At 53.8% G+C, this 22,053-nt stretch overlaps 1 protein-coding gene across 7 annotated transcripts in view, besides 2 other annotated features; it reads right to left on the minus strand.

Moving 5' to 3' along the window:
* The window catches only part of PRKAG2 (protein kinase AMP-activated non-catalytic subunit gamma 2), a 320,989-nt gene that overhangs the window by 293,564 nt on the left and 5,372 nt on the right, over window positions 1-22,053 (minus strand). The gene's annotated exons all lie outside the window — the stretch shown is intronic.
* Window positions 4,271-4,791: an enhancer, noted in NCBI's record as "H3K4me1 hESC enhancer chr7:151551046-151551566 (GRCh37/hg19 assembly coordinates)". NCBI's record gives its function as "activates a minimal SCP1, AML or CMV promoter by ChIP-STARR-seq in naive H9 embryonic stem cells {active_cell/tissue: H9 hESC(naive)}" and the evidence as "EXISTENCE:reporter gene assay evidence [ECO:0000049][PMID:30033119]".
* Window positions 4,792-5,312: an enhancer, noted in NCBI's record as "H3K4me1 hESC enhancer chr7:151551567-151552087 (GRCh37/hg19 assembly coordinates)". NCBI's record gives its function as "activates a minimal SCP1, AML or CMV promoter by ChIP-STARR-seq in naive H9 embryonic stem cells {active_cell/tissue: H9 hESC(naive)}" and the evidence as "EXISTENCE:reporter gene assay evidence [ECO:0000049][PMID:30033119]".

A 22,053-nucleotide genomic window follows, 5' to 3' on the forward strand; every position in this document is an offset into this window, starting at 1 on the left:
TGGTAGCCACCAGCGCACTCCTGTCTCGGCCTCTGCTGTCCCATGGCCTGCTCCCCACGGGCCTGTGTCTTCCATCTTCTTGGGAGGCTGCAGTTATGCTGGATTAAGGGCCCACCCTGCTCTAGGATGACCTCATCTTCGCTAAGTACATCTGCCAGAGACGCCATATCCACACAAGGTCACATTTACAGGTGCTGGGGGTTAGGACCTCTCTATATATTTTGGGGGACATAATTCAATCCGTGCCACTTGTGCATGCTGGGCGTGTTCCCACCTGGGGAAGCTGCTCCTGCCCAGCCCGCAGCACGTTTGCCATTTTCCGGAGCGTGCTGTAGCTAGGCACAGAGAGGCTCTGCTGGGCTGCAGGGGGAGCGAGACACACCAGGGAGGCTGAGAACCCACACCGCCTAAACCGAGGGGCCGTGCACACAGGTGGCTCAGTGTCTGCAGAAAGAAGCGGGAGGGGGGTGCAGGGGAACCGTAGCACCAATTACCCATAGTGGGCACATCAAATGATTACACAGGGACAGTGGGTGTGAACCGGGTGGGCCCAGGAGAAACCTGGAGGTACAGTCCCCTCACCTAGAACGCTTCTTGAGTGTTTAATGGAAAGACGCCTGTCCAGAAGGTTTCTCCTGGAAGGAGGGATCAAATCTGTCTAAGCTCCGAAGTAACCCTGCTCAGCTAATAGGTTATTTCCTCATCTTAGAAAGGAAGAAATGAACAGGAGGCAGAAGGGCAACCTGTCCCATGCTCTGCCTCGAAGCACACGTCATCTGGTGGGCAGCCCTGCCATTGTGGAGGTGGGCAAACCGAGGTTCAGAGATGGCATTGGCCATGCTCATCAAAGCAGCCCAAGCTCACACTCAGCCAAGGAGCCCCGAGCCTGGATTGGAACCCAGATGGACCAATTCCAAAATCCTCAAGTTCTACACTCCTTCCCGCCTGCCCCACCTCCATCGTCCTGTGTCCAGGAACATGGCCCTTGTGCCCCACCAGCATCCACCCGCCCCACCGGCTTCTGCCAGAGGGAGGAGTCAGAGGTGAGAGTCTGGTGCTCTGAGCGCTGCCTCGCAGTTGTGCAAATCAGTTCAGCTCAGTGAGTTTTAATTCAGTGTCTACTTTGATGCTGAAGATCTAGTCCCTCCCCCCACAGTCACTGATGGTGTCACTGAAAGCCGAGTCTGACAACACGGAATAAGAAGTCCTCGATGAGCCGCCGCAATGTGACCTTAGGCCAGTCACTTGAGCTCCAAGGCACGGCCCACAGGGGTACCCCTGCTCCCCAACCCGCAAATGGGTGGTGAGACCTGAGGGACTCTCAAATTCCTCCAGCGATCCCGCCGTCTCTGTGCCTGGCCCTCTTTATCTGGGATCGAGCCACTCACACCCTTGCTGCCATCTAACTTTTCTTAATGGCCTGGTAGGGAAATATCACAAAACAAACACACACAACTCAAAGAAAAAAGAAACGTCGCCCATGCCAGAGTTCAGCGTGGCTCTGACATTACATTGGTGCCTCTTGCTGGGAGAGGCCAAAACCACAACTTTCCGGAACTGGAGTGAGCTTTCCTGCCATGAGAGCTCACTGGAGCATTTTGCTAAGAACGGGTTTTCCCAGTTTGAGACTGGCGAGTTTGGGGCCTCTGGCAAAAAAAAAAAAGAAAAAAAAAAATCACTTCTGCTTTTGCCAAGCAGCTTCCCTTTTTCTGGAAACTGCCCGATCCCCACCTCGCTGTGGGCAACTCTGCCAGCAACAGCTACTCCTGGCTGGCCCAGGCTGGTGCGGGGATCTGAGACGTGGAGTCGCAATGGCCAGTGTGGGCAAGCAGCTCTTGTGAAGTTGGCCACGCACGTCTCTCCAGAGTCGGCTACAGATGGAAATTTCCATATGCCCCTGTTCAGCCAAAATCACAGGCTTTTGGTTTCATTATCATTGTCAAACCATTAACCACTAACCCCTGGCACCTAGGGGAGAGCGCTCCTGGGGCCCCACTCTGCATGCTGGTGAGCTCGAATGTCTTAGAAGTGGATGCTTCTGGAAGGAAGGATGGGAAGCCTCCCTCCTCATGGGTCCCCCTCCACAGCTCACGTCCAAAATGCCTTACTCTGTATCATCATCGTCTATGAAATGTGCACGTCCTCACTCCCATCACTGCTAAAACACTGCTCAGACTCAACTTCCCCAGGGGAGTTCACAGGAGAGGGAGCCGGGGCTTCCTGCTCTGGTGAAGGGCTTCCCTCCACTCCCTCTCAGCTGGAGGGCAGGGGGCAGTGAGGGGAGGAGCAAGACTGAAAACGGGTGGCAAGCTCTCGCCTGTCCCGTGCCTGCTCCGTCCCATGTCTGGAAGAATGCCAGCCTCAAAGCAAACCCTCAACAGTGCTGCTTACTGAGTGACAGGACGGACGCACAGGAACCCAGGCTCCTACGCAAGCCTGTGCCCTGTGTAAGGTGCCAGCTCAGACCGAGGCACTGGTCGGGGGTCCCTGGGGCTAGGGGGGACAGAACCCTCAAGAATGTAAGCCCTGGCGGGGCACAGAAACTCGTGCCTGTAATCCCAGCACTTTGGGAGGTGGGCAGATCACCTGAGGTCAGGAGTTCAAGACCAGCCTGGCCAACATGGCGAAACCCCGTCTTTACTGAAAATACAAAAATTAACCGGGCATGGTAGCACACGCATGTAATCCCAGATACTCGGGAGGCTGAGGCAGGAGAATTGCTTGAACCCAGGGGGTGGAGGTTGCAGTGAGTCAAGATCGCACCACTGCACTCCAGCCTGGGCGACAGAGTGAGACTCCATCTCAAAAAAAGAAAGTAAACCCTACGAGGGCAGCAGCCTCATGTGCCCTCCACTGCTACATCCTCAGTGTAGACCACAGACCTGTAGGGGGGCATGTGGTAAGCACCCCATTGTTAATGGGGCCCTGAGAAGCCACAGGACAGGCTGAGACCATATGAAGAACCGCCCCAGGACCACAGAGATGCCAACCCCACACGCCTGAGGGTCCTATAGGAACACAATGACCTGGAAGTGCTCCCATCCTACAGAGAGACCGGAGAGGCCAGGGGTGTGCACGGAGCTTCTGCCCAGAGCCCTGCACTCCACGAGAATTAGCTTAGATCTTGACCTCCTCCTCCCTCCCTGGGGCCCCGCCTCTCTCCTATCTCACAGCCTGCACGGCCCCATAAGGGGTCAGGAGGGAAGAATACCTGCTCTTTCATATGTGACCCACCTGGCAGGGCCGCAGCTCAACGGGCAACCCCAGGACTGGCTGTTGCAGCTTGGACTAAATTTAATTTCACCCTCCAAAGGTAGGGGCGGCTGCCTTGAATGGATTCCAAGGATTCCAAGGGTAAACCTAGTGTCTCTGGACTCAGCCCTAAGTCACTTTTTACTGTGTCCCTCGGAGAGCTCGGGACCCAGGAGATGCTACAACACTTGCTCTTAAACTTTTTAAAAGTAGGTGACGATTGTGACAAGGCCAACAAGGACTGGATGCGTGAGTGTGCTGTCCCATAGGCGCAGCACCCTGGAGGAGGAGGAGGGGCTGCAGCTGGGTCGACACAGCAAGATTCCAGAAAAGAGAGGAGAAAGTCGGTTTCAGAAAAGGGGAAAAAAGTCAAAATGACAGGTTTGTCAGAAAAATAACTTACATTCTGAAAACTCAGCTGCTTAAAAATAATTTACGTATATGTTTTTCAGATGACAATTTTGACAATTTTATATGGTTGATGGGTCAGATATTACGTTGAACTCTGTGAGATGATCATTTTTGAGGTTAGAAAATAGTCAAATATGGCTCACGCCTGTAATCCCAGCAATTTGGGAGGCCAAGGTGGGTGGATCACGAGGTCAGGAGATTGAGACCATCTTGGCTAACACAGTGAAATGCCAGCTCTACTAAAAAATACAAGAAAATTAGCCAGGCGTGGTGGCGGGTGCCTGTAGTCCCAGCTACTCCGGAGGCTGAGGCAGGAGAATGGCGTGAACCCGGGAGGTGGAGCTTGCAGTGAGCTGAGATCATGCCACTGCAGTCCAGCCTGGGCAACACAGTGAGACTCCGTCTCAAAAAAAAAAAAAAAAAAAGTCAAATATTGGCTATTCCACGCAGTTTAACCTAATATTATCACCTGCTCTTCACTGCTGAGGAACCTGGGCACAGGCTGAGAAAGGATGATTTGGGCTCAAAATAAGACCTTCTGACCCCAAACCGAGGCTCCTCCTATGAAATCATGCTGCTTCCCACCGAAAAACCAAAAACAAATAGAATCCAGGCCCCCTTTATTCTACAGACAAGGATAACCTTGGTGTTGAGGTCAGGCCTGTCCACCCGCTGGGGACAGCTGGGTCATTCACCAGCAGCCCAAAGGCAAAGCCCACTCCTGTCACCCCAGCCAGCCCTTGCTCTGCAGTGCCAGCAGGCAGTGCCCATCACGGGCCAGAGAGAAGAAGCCTCCACCCCGACTGCTGTTGTTTATTTCTCTAAAAAATCACATTAGAAATGAGCCTCCAAGGAGCTTGACTTGAACCTGGAACTTTCTAAAATGCAGAGTATCTATGCATCTCTATCTACATGCATGCCTCCCTTCCCCCCACACACATGCACACACACGAACACACGTGCACATGCACACACACGTGTGCACACATAACCCTTCTGGACTTAGCAGCACACGGACCAGCTGGATGCTTGTGGGGCCTGAGGGTGGACAGCTCCTCCACGCCATCAGGGCTGCTGTCTGAGACCTGCCCCCAAGAGCCTCTGGCCAGGACGCAGCCTTCCCCCACACATCACAGGCACAGGGAGGCATTTGGAGCGCCCGAGGATAGGGCTGTGTGACATCCCTGGCAAGGGCCAGGCAGCGGGAATCCAGCCGCCAAACTCGAGGGCCTCATGGAATGCTAATGGCTACGGACAGCACTGCCACAGGCTTGAGTGACATCACCTCAGTTTGCACAATTGGGCTGAGACTGGAGCTCAGCCTTCCTGGCTCCCACTCCTTGAGCTCAGGGCATGAGTACGGCCACAGAATCAGGGTGCCTGGTCCTTAGGGCGCGCCTCCTGTGATTCTCACACAACGGCCTCAAGAAGGGAGGCAGCGGGGGAGTCACGGAAGGAGGGCTCAGTCAAAGAAAGGACACATCTGAGCAGAGGGATGGCCTCGCAGCCCAGTTCCAGGATGGCTGAGGGCTCCATACTCCAGGGCTGGAGCTGGGGAAAGCACACACACCACTTTACACACACACCACCCTCCACCACTCTCCACATACCACCCTCCACACACACCATGCTCCACACACACCATGCTCCACACACACCACCCTCCACACACACCATGCTCCACACACACCGCCCTCCACACACACCATCCTCCACACACACCATCCTCCACACACACCATCCTCCACACACACCACCCTACACACACACCATCCTCCACACACACCACCCTACACACACACCATCCTCCACACACACCACCCTCCACACACACCACCCTCCACACACACCACCCTCCACACACACCACGCTCCACACACACCGCCCTCCACACACACCACCCTCCACACACACCACCCTCCACACACACCACCCTCCACACACCACCCTCCACACACACCACCCTCCCACACACCGCCCTCCACACACACCATGCTCCACACACACCGCCCTCCACACACACCGCCCTCCACACACACCATCCACACACCACCCTCCACATACACCATGCTCCACACACACCGCCCTCCACACACACCATCCTCCACACACACCATGCTCCACACACCACCCTCCACACACCACCCTCCACACACACCGCCCTCCACACACCGCCCTCCACACACACCACTTTACACACACGCCACCCTCCACACACCACCCTACACACACACCACCCTCCACACACGCCACCCTCCACACACACCACACTCCACACACCACCTTCCACACATACCACTGCAGACACTGGGATGTTTTTGCCAAGCAGAGAGGCTGCAGGCAGAGAGGCATGGGCTGTGCCATAGGGGAAAAGTGGGTGGGTGGGGGCAGGCAGAGGGGTGGGGGCGGCAGGAACCACAGGGATGGGTAGAGGCTCAGAGCCACACCTGCTCCAGACCATATGGACCTCACAGATGAGTCTGTGTCCTCGCTTAGGCGAAAGCTGAGCTCCATGATGCTATGTGCACCCTGTCTCCATTTCCAAAAGGATGCTTGCAATGCAGTTACATAAAATACCTTGAAAGGAGGAAAAACAGTAGCCACAGGAAGATAAAGTAAGGCGGTCTCTGGAGAGAGGTTAAGACACAAAAACCCGTAAGTCCTACACACTCGCCAGACACAGGCCACACATTCTGCCCTTGGGGTTTCTCCAGCAAATGAAGAAAGAAGATTTCTTAAAAATTATAGCATACTCAAGTTTGCTACATGGCATATCATGGCAAACCTACATAGGGTATCATTTAATTCTCATGGCCACCTGCAGGCAGGTATTCTTATTGCTGTTTCACTAACAAAGCAACTTAGGTTCAGGGCCATCAGGGAGCCTGTCCAAGGTCACACAGCCAATGAGAGGTGTGGCAGGAGGGAAACCAGGTCCCCAAAGTCCTGGCTCCCCGTGGCGATCTTTCCAAGGCCCGCGCAGCCGAGGACGCAAGCACAGGTGCCACGAGCACGCTGGAGTGGCCCCGAGGCGGGCCCCTGCGGAGGCTTGCAGCTCCCTGGAAGGTATTTTGCCTTCTTCATTGCCCCAAATTAGGATGTAGGGGGAGACGAAAAGACGTCCTGCAGGGAAGGGCGTGGATTTTGGAGACAGCCACACCGGGTTCAATTGGCCTCGCCGTGGCCCTTAGGCAAACAACTCATTCTATCTGAGCCTCCGTTTCTCCAACTGTAAAAACCGGGTGAATACTAGGAACAGGCAGAGTTGCTGATGAGTTAAATGGCAAAATATGTGAAAGACGTTAAGTCTGGCACCCACACCGAATATAACTCAGTGAATGCCCGCATCTGAAAAACAAGACCAGCCACACACACGGTCACGGCGTCCCCACCGGAGCACGGTCACCTGTGCCTCATCAGCCACGTGGCCGCCACAGGGAAGAGAACTGGATCGCAAGGCAGGTGTTTCAAGTCTGGTGAAACCCAGCTCTAAGGAAACAAGATAAAGGAGGAGAAGATACAGGACAGCAGGCAGAAGACAACAAGAAGGGCGGAGAGAAAACGGAGCAGAGAAAGAGGAAAGAAACAGAAAACGGTGACAAAAGAAACTACTGGACTGCAGCCCAAAGTCTACTGCTTTCAGCTTTGTGTAAAAGGTGGTATCTTTTAGGGCTCCAGAGACACTAACCAGTGTAATTTTTGCAGGCAACATTAAAACAAAAAAACAATCCTAAGACCCATCTATTTGCAATTAGGCAAGGGCTGATCATTGCTGGAAAAAAAAAAAAAAAAAGCCCACAGGGAGTATAAGGGATGGGCACAGAACGCGCAGCATCCTGCGGAAGACGGTGTGGGAGATGAGAGCCAGAAAAGGTCAGTGCTTTTTGCTGGGTGACATTCAGGACCTTTCTGCTCCTGCCAGCTCCCAGCTCCCAGATCACTGAGCCCTACAGAGTTCTGCACAAATGAGGAATGAGGCCGATGCCCAGGTCCGCCTGTGAGAGGGGGCTGTGCCCAAGGTGGACCCATCAGCAACTGGAAGTACCAAAAAAAAAAAAAAAAAGACTTCATATAAATGCATCTATAGTCAGCCTATAAAAATGGTTGGAAAGCAACAGCCCACTCCTCTCCACGCATTTTCTCGGGTTGCATGCTGCCTTCCGGCACCATCTGTCTGTTCAGCACAGCGGTTGTGTGTGGGCTCAGGCGCCAGACGGCTCCGGCTTGATGCCCGGCTGTGCCACCCCCTGCCAACGGCCTCTGCTGTGCAGATTTTCCCATCTGTAGAATGGGGACAATAGCAGCACCAGCACACAGCTGTGTGGGGATGAAGTCAGCTGCCACCCACGCATGCTGAGGACCTGCTGGCTTGGGAGCGCTCGCTCTCTTTGTGGTCACTGTTGCTCTTCTTTTCCCTTCAGGTCTGAACTGAAAAGTCATCTGAACCAGGTGCCACCTCGCTGGAGCATCAGAAGGCGGGCATACAATTTCTAACACCTTCTATACAATCCCAAACGGTGATTTCCTGTCACTAGGAAGGAATGGGGCATAGGAGACAAAGAATTGCGGGTTTTACTCCTTTGGCTGCTCCCTAAGGGGTACAGGGTGCTGGGACTTGCCTCTCCCATCTCTCTTTGGGAATGAAGCGCTCCTTTCCCCCACTGCTGGTGGTGCTGTGGCCCCTCGGCTGCCAGCCCCTTATGGGGACAGCCCAGGCTGGAGGAGCCACCTTCCCAAGGCCCCAGCCTCTTCCACAGTCAGCTACATCCACCAATGATTGTCCCCAGCCCCTGCTGCTACCCAGCAAGGCTCAGAAGGGTGGGCTGAGGCCCTAGCTGAGACTGTGGGGCAGCCCAGCCTCTCCTGCACCGTGCCTACCCCTCCCCTCCCCTCCCTTACACTCCCCTCTCCTCCCCAGTACTCAGCAGCACCCTGCCAGCCTCGGCCACAGCTGTCCCCAGCTGGCCCATTGAAGAGCCCAATCTGTACCACTTGGTGGGAAGGTGACTGAAGCTACTGGCTCCTTGGAGCTTTAAGCAGTATGGAGATTATTTTTATTTTTGTTTATGCATACCTTGTGTCACTTTCGGTATCCAGGTGTCATAAAGATACGTGTCAGGGATTGGACTAGGTAAGCCTCAGTGGATAGTTAAATACCCATATCTCCCACACCCCATTATTCCCCTCCACTATTCACCTGCCCACACACACACACCACCCCTGTGCTACAGGAAGAGAGAGTCACAGGGAAAGGGAAGTCCTGCCTCCTCAATGGTCCTGGACCATGGCCATGCCTGACACCATTGCTGCTGGAAGAAGGGGTGACATCGTCATTCACTTCGGCCGTTTCTCGGCTTCCTGTGATTTGAAAGTTTTCCAGTGCTGAGATGGGTTTGGTTTGAGCCCCCAATCCAAAGATGCTTTGCTGGTAGCTAGGAGGTATTCAGCAAGCACCTGCTATGCAGAATGCACAGTGTGGAGCACTTGGAGGGACCATAAAGATGAACGGAACACGAATTCTGCCCCCAGGAGTCTTGATGGAGCTGACGGGCACCCTAGGCCTTGTCTCGCCCCTAGGAGGCCCCTCTTCCTGCTCCTCTGCAAGGCTGGCATCGACAGCAGGTCCAGCCCCATCCCTGGCCTCAGTGACTCAAGGGGAGTTTTCAGAAACTTCTCAGATCAAGGAAAGCTCAGAAAATCCAGTGTCTCCTGAGGAGAAGCCAGACCCTGGCCAGGTGTCTCTGGAGTCTGTCACAGAACAGATTCAGGAAAAACAGGTCGCTGGGGCCTCCAGCAAACAGCCGATACCACATCTGTGTGCATCGTCCTGTGATGCCCAGGGAATGGGCTTCGAGGGTGCTGCACAGCTGTGGCACCAGAGAACACTCCGCGGGGAACGGCGTCAGACGGGGCGGGGCGAGGTGAGGCCCGCAAGCCAGTCCCTGCTGCACACGGTAGCGAAGGCGGAAAGCTGCGGCAACACCTTCCCACCATCTCTGTGAGGTCTGTGGGTGGAGAGGGTGGGATGCGACTGCCAGCCCCGTGGAAAGGTATGATTCTCCAAAGAAGACAAAGGTGCTGGCCAGGAATCATGGTCTTCAGAGTGAGGGCAGCGCCCAGCACATCTCTCCGTGTTCACTGAGACACAGCTAAGACACACACTTAAAGGGCCATGGGATTAGCGAATAGGGAAGACTTCCCAGGGGCGAGGACTGTGAGAGTGGAGGTGAGTAATCTGGCGGCAGCTGCCTGAGGCTGTGTGCCCAAGCCCGGCTGGGTCTGCTGCCAGCCACAGCCCACAGTGCCAGAGCTGTCCCTTGGCGCCATCAGAAGCTGAGTGGCCTTGGATACCTTCAGCTCCCCTTCTGCTCTCATCAGCCACTTGCCAGCCATCCTCTTGTCCCAGTGAGAGCTGCAGGTTAAGGCACCGAGGATGTATCTCCATCTCTGTCCAGTGCCAAGCAGTTGAATGATCTGGTAAACAGCTGTCCCTCACTCCCATTTAGGCAGTAGTCATCTCAGGGTATCAGCTGGAAATCCAAGGCCATGGGAGTCACCTGAGTCCATGCCGCTGGAGGGACGCAGGGTTGCAGGACACGAGTGCCCATCTTCTGATGTAGTCCAAGATTCCCTCTCCGCCACCTGCAGGTGGGACTGTGGGCTGGGCTGACGGAGGTGGCCGGGCACCTGGAGCTGTAGCAGGTATCACAGAAGCCTAGAATGCTGGACCCGGAGGGGCCCTTCCAGTCACTAACAGGGCTCCATCTGCCTATCGGATGCTTTCATCCACCTTCCATTAAGCACATTAACCAGCAGCTATGATATGCCCAGCCACTGCCCCTTCTCCAGCCTCCGTGGAGCCCCTCCTGCTGGAGGCAGGGCAGAAAGGGGGCACCAGGACAGGCCCTCGGACAGGCAAGACCACAGGCTGGGCATGCTTTGCGCCATTTGCAGCAGAGAGAACCAGAACTTCTTGCAAACATCTCACTCCTCCAATACCACACACGGCCACCTGCATCTCTACATTGCTTGTCCTTGCCCACCCCCTCTCCTCCCTGGCATCCACGCCTGTACTGGTGGACAATCAGAGACACGCACTGATGGGTGCCATCTGTGGTGCCCAAGGCCTCGCCTGTGGAAGGGGGTGTGGGTTTCATCTCCCATTGGGAATGAACCAACCACAAGACAGAGAGAGAGAGCACGGCCCCCAGCTCACCCACCCCACCCGAGGCCCACTGCAGACTGGAAGGAGATGACTTGGGAGCCTGAGTGTTCTCTAAAAGCCCCATATTTATTTTCTGGAGTCAAGGTGCAAAGTCCCCATGAGTTCCCCATTAGACAGCAAATGCCCCAAGGAGAAGAGGACAAAAAGCATATTAACCTGATGAACTGATTCCCAAGGATGCCTGCTGTGCCCTACCTCTCCTAGAGGGCACTGTTCTCGCCCAGGGAACACTGTCTCCCCTTGTCTGCCCACCTGTCTTCCATGCCATGACCCTACTGGGGTCACGTTAGGCTTGTGGTAGAGGGAGGTGCAGGCAGACGAGACTCCAAGGACCCTAAAGTCCCAGTATTCTGCTTCTAGGTAGAGCTTGCCAGGTTAGATTTCTGCCCGCCACCTCAACTCTCTGCAGCCCCACCCCAAGACTTTGCCTTCAAGTTCCTGGCACGTGGACCAAGGCCAAGCCCATTTCTAAGCCTTCTCACTCTCAGTTAAGGGCTCAGTACCTTCAGCCCTGGGGGCTCAAGCTGGCTTCACTCTGGGGTCAGGACCTTGGCCTGTCTCAGTGTGAATAAGGAGACCTATTGAACAAATTTGCAAATTATTCAGCCAAAGCCTAATGAGGGATTAAAAAGGAAATCTCGTTCAAATTACAATCAAAGAATCACCTGCAGGACGGGCATGGTAGCTCATGCCTGTAATCCCAGCACTTTGGGAGGCTGAGGCGGGTGCATCACTTGAGGCCAGGAGTTCAAGACCAGCCTGAACATGGCAAAACTTCATCTCTACTAAAAATACAAAACCTGGCCGGTCATGGTGGTGCATGCTTGTAATCCCAGCTACTGGGGAGGCTGACACATAAGAATTGGTTGAACCCGGGAGGCTGAGGTTGCAGTGAGCCAAGATGGTGTCACTGCATTCCAGCCTGGGTGACAGAATAAGACTCTGTCTCCAAAAAAAAAAAAAAAAAAAAGAATCACCTCCATTGAAAAGAATAAAATTATCTGAAGCTGGGGACATCCCCAGAAAACCTGGGATGGGATGGTGGCCACAGCTACATTCTTAGGGTCGGTCCTCCCATGGGCGGCTTGTTAGGGAGAGGGAGGCAACCCTTCTAGACACAGACATCCTGCTCTTTACTGTGGCATCTCAGTCATGCTCCCCCAAGTCCTGTGAGGTGGGGATTATATTCTGTATTTTACCGGTGAGGAAACTGAGGCTTAGATTGTGCCAGTGAACTGCCCAATAGGACACAGGGGGCAATCATTGACACCGGGGTTGCGACCTTGGCCTCTGGCACCCAAACTCATGCTCCCTCCCTAGCAGCCACTCTTCCATTGGCAAGATAAAAACCATCCCATCTTCCTGCTCACACACAGGACTCTGTTCTTGAGAATCTAGTATGAGGGACGGCTAGGTCCATGCCCGTCCCCTCAGTGGACGGATGCTCCCTCCTCCAATGGCACCAGGAAATAGAGAGGTCCCTGAAGGGGATGAGGCCCGAGGCACTGGCATCTGGCCCCCGGGCTCTGCATTGCATGAAGGTCTAGGCGCCCGGCCCGTCTCCAGGCAGAGGACCATCCCGCCATGGCAGATGCCTCCTGCCAGACACAGGATGCTGTACTAGTCAATCAGCCTGAGCCAAAGCCCAAGTAACTTTCCCAAGTGGGAGGTGAAGGAAAAAAACAAATAACACAGTAATGTGCCTAAAATCTGCCCCTTTTTTTTCTGGCCAGTAGATTGGATGGAAAAAAAAATGCCTCTTTTTGAAACCAACAAGACATGATTTGTCTGAAAATGTTCTCTTTGAGGTATGTGGCTCCCACAAGATTTGTAAAAAACGGGTTCACTCAGATTTTTCTAAATTGGGTCGTCGAGTTAACTAAGCATTTCCATTCTCAAAGACGGCCCCCATTTTCTTTCTTTCCCCCTCTGTTAGTTAAGCTTCTGCATGTCCTCACCATCATCATCATCATTGTCAACATTCAGGTCGGCTGTGTGAGAGGTGGCTTCCTCAGGGCTGGGACATGACAAAGTGTAGACGCATGCCATCTTTAAAGGAGCTTATGGTTTAATTAAGGAGACAGGCTGGATACTTCGAAAGAAAAATCGTGAGATTTTATGAGAAAGGGACGCGGTGCCGTGGATGCCGTGGTGTGGCTCCCGGATCCCCAGGCGCAGGGAGCACTGGTAGGTCCCCAAGTGCAGGGGGCACTGGTAGGTCCCTGGGTACAGGGAGCACTGTTAGGTCCCTGAGTGCAGGGAGCACTGGTAGATCCCTGGGTTCAGAGGGCACTGGTAGGTCTCTGGGTGCAGGGAGCACTGGTAGATCCCTGGGTTCAGAGGGCACTGGTAGGCCTCTGGGTGCAGGGAGCACTGGTAGATCTCCGGGTGCAGGGGGCACTGGTAGGTCCTGGGGTGCAGGGGGTGCTGGTAGACCCCAGGTGCAGGGGGCACTTGTAGGTCCTGGGGTGCAGGGGGCGCTGGTAGATCCCTGGGTGCAGGGGGCGCTGGTAGGTCCCCGGGTGCAGGGACCACTGGTAGGTCCCCGGGTACAGGGGGCACTGGTAGACCCCAGGGTACAGGGGGCGCTGGTAGATCCCCGGGTGCAGGGGGTGCTGGTAGGTCCCCGGGTAGAGGCAGCACTGGTAAATCCCCAGGTACAGGGGGCACTGGTAAGTCCCCGGGTACAGGGAGCACTGGTAGCCACTGGTACTCAGCTGAGTGCCTGGCTGAGACTTGCCCTCACCCGACGGGATCCGCCTCACCCAAGTTCACATCCCCTTCCCAGGGACAGTGTGGGAGCCCTTTGCCTCAATCTGGGACAACTCTGAAGGGTCATCCCAGTTCCAGAATGCTCCAAGGGGTCAGCTGAGGCCTTTGGTGTGAATGCTTCATCGCCCTTCCCCTCTGCTCAGTCCAGCTTGCTTCCCTCTTTCACCACTGAGTGGCCAAAGCTAGAGGCACAGACTCACCAGCTGAGCATAACCTTCAGGTGAAGGTGACAAAGGCCACTGGAGGGCAGACCATCATTTAACAAGGAATAGAACCAAATATGAGGCCAGCACGGTGGCTCACGCCTGCAATCTTAGCACTTTGGAAGGCCACCGCAGGAGGACTGCTTGAGCCCAGGAGTGTAAGAGCAGCCTGGCAAGATGATGAAGCCCCTTCTCTATGAAAAATCAAAAAATTAGCCGGGCTTGGTGGCACCTGCGGTCCCGGCTACTGAGCAGGCTGAGGTAAGAGGATCGCTTGAGCTCAGGAGTTCCAGGCAGCAGTGTTCGCACCACCGCACTCCAGCCTGGACTACAGAGCAAAACCCTGTCTCAAAAAAAAAAAAAAGGAACCAAGAACCAAATATGTCCACCTGCCTTTATGCTGTATTTTATCACAGTAGTAAACTCTATGCCTGCATGCCTCTCCTACAGAACATCGCTTTGAGCCTTTCCTGAGAACTGATATTGCCACATCTAGAGGAGAGGAGAGAGGAGGGAGGTGATAGAGAATGGAGTCTGGAGCCCACAGCCCTTGTCTTGAAATAGCACGAAACAAGCACTGCTGTGAACTGGCTTCCTGACCTCCAGCCTCAAGAGCAGGCATCTCAGGCAGAAAGCCACAGGGCCGGCAGATGGCAATGCTGGCTCCCAGAAGCCCTTCCCTGACCGTAGCCACAGCAGCTGACCAGCCAGGGTGGGACTCCTCTCCTCCCAACACGCCTCCAGTGCAAAGGCCCAGGTTCAATCCTTGCTTCGCCACTGGCCAGCCATGCGACGTGGCAGGTCACTTAACCTCTTGGGGCTGTTTCCTCATTATACGGCGGTCCAGGGTGCAGCTTCCTGTTTCCCTTCTCCCAGGGGCTACCATGCATCCTCTGCGCCACTTCCACACCTGGCAGGTACCCTGCAACCCTAGAGGGGAGGTCTCCTGGCCCAGTTCCTTCCCCAGACCAGGTTGGTATCGCTGCCCAGCATTTCCCTCTGTCTTTGAAAATACTCTATTACCTATGCCCCAAGGTCATGTCAGAAATCTCAAAATACACCTAACATGCAAAGCAGAGTGGTGAGGAGACAAGCGACCTCTCTGTTCTCCTGGCGCTGGCAGCTCCCCAGGGGTGAAATATCTCCTCGGACACTCACTCATCTTCAGTGGTGCAAATGGGAGGGCTCAGGTGACACTCTTAAAAGTCCAGCTTTGGAAGGACCCAGGCCCCATCACTGCTCTGCACGCCCCTCACCCACAGCCCCTTAAAGCCACTTGTCCCCAGGACAAAGCAGTTTCCATACAGCCGTGGTGCTTGAGCCAAACGGAGACTTAGGCTCCAGCCCTCTTTTTCAAAGTGTATATATGTATATTACATATTACACATATTACATATAGGATATACTTTAAATAGCATATGATTAGATAACAATTTTATATAATACTAATTATATAATATATGAATGTATTATATATGTAAACAGATCTAGACAGGTTAAGTGACTGGTTCCGCTCAAATCCTTCTGGCCCCTGTGCACATGACCTTGCTTTCCATCCACAGGCAGAGTCTGTCCCTCCATCCCTTGAGTCTCAGCCGTGTGACTTGCCATGGCCAAGGGGCCTGAGGAGCCCCTGAGCTTCAGGCTGGCCCTCTTGCTGCTGCCTAGACGGCCTGCTGGACACACGGCCCAGTTGTCCCCGCGGCTCGGCTGGCATGGAGCCGACTGGGCGATGGGCAGACATGCAGGCGAGGCTGTCCTGGGGCCCAGCTGCTGGCTGACCCCAGAGATCGGCCAAGCCAGCCCCAACCACGAGAACTTCCCAGCTGACAGAGAGAACAGTGAGAAAGAATAAATTCTGTGGCTTTCAGTCCCTATGTTTTTGGTGTTTTGGTAGCAGCAGACGTGAACTGACAGGGTGACGGCATGCCCCAGGTTAAGCCTTGTGAGGGGAGAGAGGGGCCCATGTGGATCACAGTGAGACCCCTGTGCCTGGCACACAACAGGCTGCGGTCAATACTGGATGACTCAGTGAGAAGAAGCCCCTAGACAGGTGACAGAGGCGCCAGGCAGGGCTTCCTGATTCCGAGTGTAGTGTTCATTCTAATCTCCATTATTTAAGAAGCAAAAACAACAAACTGAGAAAGAAGAACCAGAGACTGGAACCTATGAAAGTGGAGAAGAGGCCGGGCGCAGTGGCTCACGCCTGTAATCCCAGCACTTTGGGAGGCCAAGGCGGGCGGATCATGAGGTCAGGAGATTGAGACCATCCTGGCTAACACGGTGAAACCCCGTCTCTATTAAAAAATACAAAAAATTAGCTGGGTGTGGTGGCGGGCGCCCGTAGACCCAGCTACTCGGGAGGCTGAGGCAGGAGAATGGTGTGAACCTGGGAGGCGGAGCTTGCAGTGAGCGGAGATCGCACCACTGCACTCCAGCTTGGGTGACAGAGCAAGACTCTGTCTCAAAAAAAAAAAAAAAAGAAAAAGAAAAGAAAGTGGAGAAGACAGGTTATTTATTTTTGAGATAAGAAGGGTAAAGAATAACCTTCAATGACCTTCATCTAGAAAGGGGCCAAGTGAAGCGTATGGAGACCTGACACACACAGGGCAAACCGAAGGGAGGCAGCAGACGCCGCCCTCTCTGGGCCCACCGTCCAGCCTCAGCCTGACCGTCCAGCCTCATCCCCTACCCCAGGGAGGCCTTGGCTGCTCGTGGGGCATCTGGGCCATAGCCAAGCAGAGATATCAAAAACCTGACAAGACACAACAGAGACTTTTCTCAGCAGGTTGGGCTAGAATGGTTGTGAACCTTACACTGTCTTTTCTACATTAAGGATAATAAGACTAATAACAATACTAATATTTCACATATTACTTTAGAGATAAAGAGAGACGGCTCATATAAAAGCACACGTCTGGCATATAACAAGTGCTTCAGCAATATTAGCTCAATCTGTTGAAAACCATGCCACCCCAGATGGTATCTGATACAATCAAGAATATTGATCGGTCATCAGCACCATGAATGCAACTCCCCATCAAGCGTATCTAGGTTGCATGGAGGAAGAAGGCTCTCTGGGGTGCTTATTACAACATATGCTATAGATGAGGATGGGGCCCAGGTGATGTATGCTTCAAGCCCACCACCCCATGGCTGCTGGCATGGCTGAGGTGGTGAGCAGGGTGGAGCTGAGTAAATGGTTTCCACATTAGCCCAATAGGCAAATGGCTGTGTGGAGCCTGCCTGCCTGCCCGTCTTCTGGAAGTTGAGCAGGTGACAGAGCTGTCCTCCCACCCCCACCCCTCGCACACACCTCTGCACCCCTGGCCCCAGGAGGCTAAGTCTTGGTGGCCACCCAGGAGGGGAGAGCAGGCAAAGAGGAAGTGCTCTGGACAGAGGGAGCAGGCCTGGGTCCCAGAGCTGCCACACCAGCCTCTGTCACGTTACGTTGGTTTTCTCACAGCCCCTCCACACTAGAACTTCCAGCAGTGGGAGGAGGGGACGCAAGGAAAGACCCAGACCTTGGAAGGGAGTGTCAAAGTGCTGTGGGCAGTGGGACGCTGGGACCCCTTCCTGGGGCCTTGGCCACCTCTCCAGGCCATGCCATGGAGCCCCTCAGTGCAAGCCCCTGCCCTACAGCTCTATCGGACGGAGGCTGTGGCTGCGCTGTGCTTTGAGGGCAGGGCCCTGTTGGATTAGGTTCCTGGGCTGTGATAATGCGGCACCACATACTGGGGGCTTTAAAACAGAATGGATTCTCTCATTGCTCTAGAGGCCAGAGGTCTGAAATCAAGGTGCTGTGAGAGCCACACGCCCTCCGAAACCTCCGGGAGGATCCTTCCTTGCCTCTTCCACCCTTCAGCGGCCCATATTCCGAGGCTCGTGGCAGCAGCTCTGCAATCTCTGCCTCCGCCCTCACAGGCCTTCTTGCCTGTGCCTCTGGATGCAACTTCCCTCTTCTTAGAAGGACTCCAGGCATAGTGGATGAGGGCCGGTCCTAATGGCCTCATCCTAATCTATATGTTAATCACATCTGCAAAAACCCCATCTCAAAGAAGGTCCCATTCACAGGTATGGGGTGCAGAGGGTGTGGGACTTCGACCTTTTTTTTGGAGAATCCAATTCCATCGCACTGTTCATCTTTGTGTCCTCGACACCCAGCCCAGTCCCTGGAAAGCACACAGAAACGAGTTGACTGGTTTCTGGTCCCAGCACTAACCCTGCGTAAACATAGTTCTTAGCAATGGCTCTCTATTTCTTTATTCACAAGTGGAGAATTTGCATCCTATTTTCTCAAATTCTCCCCTCACCCTGTTGCATCCTTCTTCTTCCCCTCCCCAGCACAGTGGAGGTCACTGCAGGGCCACCCCCAGCAATGAACTCCCCTGGAAGAAGGCCAGCAGAGCTGCAGGGCACCCCCCTCCAGGACCAGGCCTTTGGCTCATGGAAAAGACGCTGGGAGCCTGGGGTTACGGAGCAAACTGGTCTTTGTCGTGCATTCATCAGCAGCTTCACTGCCAGGTCAGAGTATATCAAAACACAGAGGCCCTGGCAGACGCCCCAAAGCCTGGTGATAGCCGATTGGTCCGTGACCAGCCATGGGTTGGCAGAGAGGGCTTCCTGTCAACAGGAAGTAAAGGACAGGGATTAAATTATTTTCAAAGTAGGTAGTGGAAGAAAGAGATGAGTGAGATTCCAATTAACCATTCCAAGGCAGGGCTAAAATACAGTTCCACCAAATCACCTTCTTCTACTGGGGAAGCTCAGCTCGTTAATAGCTAACCCCTTCCTCTGGTCTGGGGGCATAAGCCATGCAATGAGTAACAGTGGGGGCTTCTAAGAACTCCGTATGGTTAAGCCCGAAGGACGCAGCTGAACTCTCAGGTGGCCCCTCTGCTCATCTCAGAGCGAGTCACGGTTAAAGAACCAAGCAAAGTCACCACTCTGTTTCAACGTCACAGCTCAGCTGCCCATCGGCCTTTGTTTGTTGCGCATTTTAAACGACGTTGACAGAACTGTGGGGTTATCAGGATGGGCTGGTTCACCGTCCTGAAAGGACGGCAGACAGCTGGTGCTTCATCGGTGATCACGTTCATTGGTCCCATTTTGGCCGAAGGGAGGGCGGAGGGAGGAGAACGGGTGAGCCACATTCTCACTCGGCTCCTGTCAGTGTCTGTGGCTCTACTCGGTAACCTTAGCAGCCCCCATAAATGTAAAAAGGTGCCTAGAAACAGAAAGACACTGGCCATGAGCTGAATACACCAAAATCAGCTCTTATAGGAAAACAGGGAGAGCAAAAGAAAATAAACAGCCAAGAAACAGGAATATTTAAGAGCACATGTATTTGCCTGAAGGTTTTAGAAGATACAAACTGATTTACAAATTACGTAAGCGAAGTCTGAGTAGATGAAGAGGCGTTGGCAAATAAAAAGTGCTTCCAAATGATTTCTTTCGCCAGTCTAGTGTTCAGCACAGTCCAAATTGCAAACCCTGAGTGCAAACTAGCAATATTGTTCTGAGAGGTTTTATTGGGGGGGGCAGTTCAAAGAAAAGAGGCAGGAAAAGACACTAGCAATGCACTGAGACTCCTAACAAGTTTGTGACATGTGAAAAGATGCAATATCGATTGAACCCACCAACTCTGCTGGCTGCTGCTTCTGTTTATGTTAATTCAGTACTCGAGCTGGGAAATCATGATCCAGGATTTAACTCTTTGCATTCATCAGTAGGCTGCTCCTCTGCAGTATGTAGAGCCTCGTTTATATAAGAATCTTGGAACCCTCCACAAAGAGGTACCAGGACCAAGCGCGAATAGGGCAGCGGGGGCTAGATGAGGGCAGAGATGCATATTTCACCTCCACTGTAATTAACCCTGTCATCTACCATGTAATGATGAACAGGCTTTTTCTCAGCTGGGCATTTGTGAAGTAGGGATAAGAGGACGAGGCAGCTCCAAGGTGACTCCCGCAAGGCACTGAGCATGTGACTCTGCAGGCCCATGGGTTTGTGCAGGCTCCGCACTATTCCCCCATGTGAGCTGCTCTGTGGGTGTCCCTGCGCCCTCTGTGTGGTAGAGTCTTTGAGGAAGTGATCACGCATCACTGTCTAGCTGCCCGTTCCCTCCAGGACCAGCACTGGGCCGTGCTCAAGCGGCATTGGGCCAATGTGCCGTGCCCCACTGAGGACGACCCTCGCTGATCAGCCCTCTCACACCCAGCGTGCTGCAGAGCGGCAACCAAGCTTCATCAAAAACCCTGGAGCCACAGGCCAGTCTGAGGACCCCATCACCAAGAAGCTTGACTACTGAAGGTTCCCATAGCATACTCTGGGCCCTATTGGAGCTTACGGCAGGGCATCTAAGATGCATGAAGCCACTGAAGGGCTGAGTCAAGAAAGCTTGCAGCGTGGCCTAACGGGCTGGCCCACACAGGCAGCTCTGGCTACAGGCTGGTTTGGGCATTCATCTTTATTTGGAAGCCAAATGTTGAATTGCCTTTGTTGAATAGTCAAAAGTCAAGGATATCTCTTCTCAATGACAGCTGAAAAGGTGCAGATGATAGATAGATAGATAGATAGATAGATAGATAGATAGATAGATAGGCAGGCAGGCAGGCAGGCAGGCAGGCAGGCAGGCAGGCAGGCAGACAGAGGAATAACTCATGGGGGCAGAAGAAATGGAACAGTATTACACCAGGGAAGCTATTAATAGTACCCAGTTGTTTTTAAGCCCCAGTAGGTACAAGAATCACCGGAGAACTTAAGAAAAATGCAAACTCATGGGTCCCACCCTCAGGCATTCTGATTCAGTAAGTCTGGGCTACGAAGCAGAATTTTATATTCTAAACAAACACTGGGAGCTTCTACATAAGCTAGTCCATGAACCACACTTTGTTAAACATTGCCCTAAACCCTAATCCAGCAAATCTTGCTCAGGATGGTACAAACTGGCCAAGGTCAAAGCTGACACGTCCACTGTGCCACACAGCATCCCCCTTCCCTTTGCGGAGGCTTCCATCCGGAGCGTTTCAGTGGTGTGAGGGGCACAAAGCACTGTCACGGTTCGATCCTCCAGCCCCGGGGCAGGACGGGGCTCCCCTTCCCACCCTCATCCTGGAGTTCCCAAACTGGCTCATTCCAGCCGGATAGAGGCTATGGGGCAGGAGCTGGGTGCAAAGGTCCCAGGCCATCACCAGCTCGGAGGGTGCGTGGCCTTCTCGCAGCGCGGGGCTTCCCTTGAGGCCACGCGGCGGGGGGAGGCACCGCTGGCAACAGGCCCGCCCAAGCCCAGCCCCATCTCTGCAAACGTTGTGACTGCCCAGCTCCCTGGCTCTACTTTTAGTTTGTCTCCAGCGACTGTGCAGGCTTTCTGGAGCACCTCTCCCCAGAGGGCCAGCGACATGTACATTCTGACAGAAATGCCCCACTCAGCAGCAACCATCTGAACTCCTCCAGCCTGCCTCAGTGTCCCCAAAGACTTCTGCCTTGGGTCCATCTCTCTGACGTCTTCCCTCTCCCTGGGTCTCCAGCTCTGTCATTGGCTTGAAACAGTTCCAGAGACACACGACATGGCAGCCAGCCTTGATTAAAGCATGTCTATGGGGTCTATGAACTTTAGCACTAATAGGGAAGCTGCTTTTTCTTAGACCGACATAAGGGAGAAAGAGCACGCTTGCTACCAAAGTCTCGGCAGAACACCACGCACAGCTACGCTTCCAGTGAGTTACTTCCTAAAACCATTCCCATCACCTTCATAATCAGCCATGCCTTACAAGAGGCATGGAGGCTCAGAGCAGGGAGCCAAGGCGGGATGCCAACAGGCCAGGACTCTGACCTCTACGGCCCTTTGCTACTTTGAAAGGCCAGCATGGCCTCAGGATAGAATGTGCCGTCAGTCCTTCCCCTTCCTCTCCATTGCATCCTCCCCCTCCTCCTCCAAGACCCTGGAGCTGTGCCCATAAAGGTGACCCAAAATGCCCAAGAAAGGCTGAAGCCAAGCAAGGCGACACCTTCGTTAGGTCCAAGGGCCACGTTCCCTTCCCCAGTACACAGCCATCAACCGAATTCAATTGATAAATTACTTAGTAGTTCTAGGTCTCCACCACCGTCCACTACCCACTGGCCCTAGGCTGTCCCCTAAAATGGATTCTTCCTTCCTGGTGTCCCAAAGCCTAGATGGGCTGTTGACAG

Source organism: Homo sapiens, chromosome 7 (assembly GCF_000001405.40).
Source record: "Homo sapiens chromosome 7, GRCh38.p14 Primary Assembly".
Lineage (NCBI taxonomy): Eukaryota > Metazoa > Chordata > Mammalia > Primates > Hominidae > Homo > Homo sapiens.